Here is a 4162-nt window from a genome sequence, read left to right as displayed (position 1 = left end):
CTGTCCTGGCCCCCAGGCCCACGGGAGGTCCCTGCCATCAGCCTCCACCTCGCTCCCCACTCAGGCAGCAGGACTTCTATGTGACCCCATAGGACCTTGGGGCTGTCCTTGGTGTCCCCAGGCAGCCAATGTCAGCCGCACCTGCCTCCAGAGAGGGTGACAGTTCCTTCACTTGACCCCACCCCCCTGCCCTGGGGTCTGCAAACCCGTCTGGGCAACCTTGGCGGTGTCCTTCTCTCCCCACCAATTCCACGCTGCCATCTGCCCACTCCCTTCCCACAAAGTCCCCAGGGCTCCTCAGGGCCTCCAAGACTCCCGCCCCAGTGGCCCTCGAGGCTCTGCCCACCTGCTTCACACAAAACCCCCGAGCTCACCCCCCACCTCCCCACCCTCACATGCCCAGGCCAGGGCTCCACACTTCTCCCACCTGGGCGCCCTCTGCCTGGCTGTGTCCCCCACCCCGTGGGTCCCATCATCCTTCCAGGCCAATGTGGGTCCGCGTGGCCCTCAGCGCCCCTCCCGGAGCTCAGCCACCCTCACGACTCCTTAGCTATTGGTGTCGCTGGCAGTTTGCAGTTGTCACTGAATCCCAGCCCCAGGAGGATGAGTCCCGTGCAGACCATGTTCATTACCACACGAAGGGGCCTGTACAGGGCCTGGCATACAGCAGGTGCTCCATAGAGCCCCATTGGGCAGTTGGGACCACACAGTCCCCACCGGGGGTCCCATTCGAGGGCTCCTGCAAGGGCCTCAGTGGCCAAGCCCCAGGGAAGGGCAGCCAGTCCGTGGGCCAGGGACCACATGGGGCTGCCGTGGGCTGGCCTGAGGGTGTGAGCACAGCCAGGCGGGTGACCAGTTATCCCCACTTAGCACAGGGCAGGTGAAATGTCACCGAGGCAGTGCAATAAAGGGCTCCCTGCTCCCTTAGACTTCCTCCGCAGCCCCAGCCACACCCAGATCTGCCCTGACTCCGACCCAACCCGGGGCCTTTCCAGCTCCCAGCACATCCCGCCCAGCCTGCCTCCCCGGCACCCTGACCCGTGCCTGGAAAATGGTCCCGTTTCCTCCCCAGGCGTTTGCATCACAGGGACCTACGGAGGAGCCCCGCCCGCCCGAGGCCCCAGAGGGTGATCTGGGTGGAGATCCAAAGAGGCTCCAGAGCCTGCACCATTCTGCTGGTAATTGCTGTGTGGCCTCAGGCAGGCCCTGAACCTCTCTGAACCTCAGTTTCCTGCTTTGAAAAGTGGAGGCAGTAAGAAGTCACCCCCAAAGGACAGCAGCATCCCTAGAATAACACGGACACCCACCTCCCAGGCACACAACCTGGGCACAGCGAAGGCTGAGGAGAAGGACTGAGGAGGGCTGGGGGCTTCCTAGAGCCAGGGGGGCCTGAGGCAAACCTGAGCCCGAGAGACACCTGGGCCTGCCATGCTGGGGTGTTGGGTGCTAGGACCACCCTGGCATTCTCACAGGGACAGCCTGAGGGCACGACTAAGGTGCAAATTAGTCTCCACCCTCTGCCCTCCTCAAGGTAGGCAGGCCGCTCTCCTCTGCCCTCCTCCGCTCTTTGTCTCTCCATGTATCTCTCTCTGTCTCTCTCTCTCTCCATCTCTTTCTCTCTCCCTCTCCCTCCCTCTCTCTTTCCCTCTCTCCTTCCCTCTCTGCTTCCTTCTCTCCCTCCCTCTTTCCTTCCCTCCCTCTCTCCTTCCCTTTCTCTTTCTCTCCCTCTCCCTCTCTCCCTCCTTCTCTCTCTCCTTCTCCCTCTCTTCCTCCCCCTTCTCCCTCTCTCTCCCCGCTCTCCTTCTCTCTTTCTTCCCCTCTCCCTCTCCCCACTCTCACCCTCCCTCTCTCCCCTCTCTCCCTCTCTCTCCCTCCCCCATCTCTCTCCCCCCCTTCTCCCTCCTCTCCCTCTTTCTCTTTCTCTCTCCCTCCCCCTTTCCCTCCCTCTCTCCCTCCCCCTCTCCCTCTCTCTTCCTCCCCTATCTCTCTCCCCCCTCTCTCCCTCTCCTTCTCCCTCCTCTCTCTCTTTCTCTCTCCCTCCCCCTTTCCCTCCTTCTCTCTCCCTCTCCCTCTCTCTTCTCCATCCCTCCCTCTCTCTCCCTCCTCTCCCCCTCTCTCTTCCTCTCCCTCTCTCTCCCTCCCCACTTTCCCTCTTCTTCCCCCTCCCTCTCTCTTTCCCTCTCTTTCCCTCTCCTCCTTCTCTCCCTTCCTGTCATCCTCCCTCCCTCTCTCCCTCCCCCCTCCCTGCCTCTCTGTCTCTCTCGCACTCCTTTTCCCTCCCTCTCTGTTTCCCTCCCTCTCTCCCTCTCTCTCCCTCTCTTCCTCTCTCCCTCTCTCCTTCTCTCTCTTCTCTCTCCTCTCTCTCCCCTCACAAAGGCCCACCCTCCCCAGATGCATGCGCTCATCCTTCAGGAGGCTGTGAGGCCCGGGCGCGGTGGGGGGCCTAGGACAGCCTGCACTGCCTCCACCTGCTCTGATCAGAATGTCACCACCCAGGCCCCCATGGCCCAGGTGAGACCCCTGATTCCACCGTGTGTTGGGGGATGATGCCAAGATGGCACCGGCCAAATAGGACCCCACAGGCCTGGGCCCCACCAGGCCTCCCCCAGGTGGAGGAGGGGCTGGGGTGGGGAGCAGGTGGGCCTGGGGTGCTGAAGAGCCACAGCTGAGGCTCGGAGCGGGACCCCGTCTGACCTGGGGGAAGGCATTGGCTTCAGCTCCCTTGGTGGCTGCTCTAGGTCAGCTGGGCTCAGGGCTGACCCGAGGGGTCTCCAGGTCCTTGCCAAGGCACTCTGTCCCCTTGACCCCCCACCACAGTGGTCATGGGGAGTCAGCTCCCCAGGGAGACAGGCTATTCTTATCTCCAGGACGTTGGTCTGACAGAGGTGAGAGGAGGGGAGGGAGGGTGAGCTAGGAGGTAGAGGGAGGCCTGGTGGGGAGGGAAGGGGTTCTGGGAGGGGACCTGGGGGAGGAAGGAAGAGGGCCTGGGAGGGATGAGGGGATCCTGGGAGGGAAAGGGAGGGGGTTCTGGGAGGGGTGGGGGGACCTGGAAGGGCAATAGAGGGGCTCCTGGGAGGAGGATGGAGGGGGGTCCTGGGACAAAGAGGGAGTACATGCTCACGGGCAGGGGCGTCCTGTTCCGCTGCAGGACTGTCCACCTGGTGCCTGCCTGGCCCTGCACGGCCACCCCTGCATACTGCTGCCCAGCACAAGGCGGGCTCACTCCGCCCTCCTGGGACATTGGAAGTGGGAGGGGCACATCACCTTGTGCACTTAGAGGCCGCCTGCCCCCTGGGCACAGTCCCCAGTGTCTCACCCAGAGTGAGGTTGGGGGCTGCCTGGGAAGCCATGGGGACTGCAGGGCCCAGACCACACAGTCCAGACCCTCCGCCGCAGGCCGCCCTCCGCTAGTGATGAGGGAGAAGCTACAGCCCAGCGCCCTGGGATGTCTGCCAGCCCAGAGAGTGGCTGCTCACAGTCAGGTCCACACCATCCAGCTCACAGCTCTCGCCCGCTGAGCGTCCTCCCTATGGCCTGAGGAACTACCCCAGGGGGCCACAGCCTTATCCTGAAGACCCTGCCAGCCCTGGCGGGACAAGCCGCCAGGCAGGATGGTGAAGAACAGCCACGTGGTCAGGAAAGAGTGGCCGGTCCCGGAGCCCCAGGCAGCGTGGCCGGGGTGAATGACCTTGGAGACTTCTGCCACGCACAGGGGCAGGGATCCTGGTACAAAGGTTCCAGAAACAAGAAGCAACCATAAACCAAAGGGCAGCTTCCATGGAAAAAAGAGTTGGTGCCACGGTCAGCCCCCAGCGGCAGGAGTGGGTATGGGAGCCGCTGGCCAGGATGGATGGGCAGCAGGTGGTGATGCGGGGCGTCTGCTCCAGCAAAGACCCTCCTGGGGGGGTCCTTTCCCTAATTCTCTCAGCAGAAGCTTCCTCAGTGGCCGCCAGAATTCACTGGGAGCTGGATGCGCCCCCGGAGCTCAGCGCCTCTCCGAGGACAGTCAAGAAACCGTGAAGGGCTCTGGGTGCCTCCCCAGACCCGGGGCCCAAGACTCTTCTGTCTTACTGGGGCTTCTGGAATATTAAGAACCGAAAAAGGTGAAAGTGGAGCTAACATGGTGTCAAGTGTAATGTATCTGAAATGTTTCACAAATTCA

General features: G+C 62.7%; 1 annotated feature.

Moving 5' to 3' along the window:
* Positions 3665-3959: a silencer, noted in NCBI's record as "tiled region #3586; HepG2 Repressive DNase matched - State 12:CtcfO, and K562 Repressive non-DNase unmatched - State 10:DNaseD". NCBI's record gives its function as "represses a minimal TATA promoter and a strong SV40 promoter by Sharpr-MPRA in HepG2 and K562 cells {active_cell/tissue: HepG2 | K562}" and the evidence as "EXISTENCE:reporter gene assay evidence [ECO:0000049][PMID:27701403]".

Source organism: Homo sapiens, chromosome 20 (genome assembly GCF_000001405.40).
Source record: "Homo sapiens chromosome 20, GRCh38.p14 Primary Assembly".
Classification (NCBI taxonomy): domain Eukaryota; kingdom Metazoa; phylum Chordata; class Mammalia; order Primates; family Hominidae; genus Homo; species Homo sapiens.
Note: the sequence above shows the minus strand (reverse complement) of the source record. Positions and strands in the feature narration are given on the sequence as shown.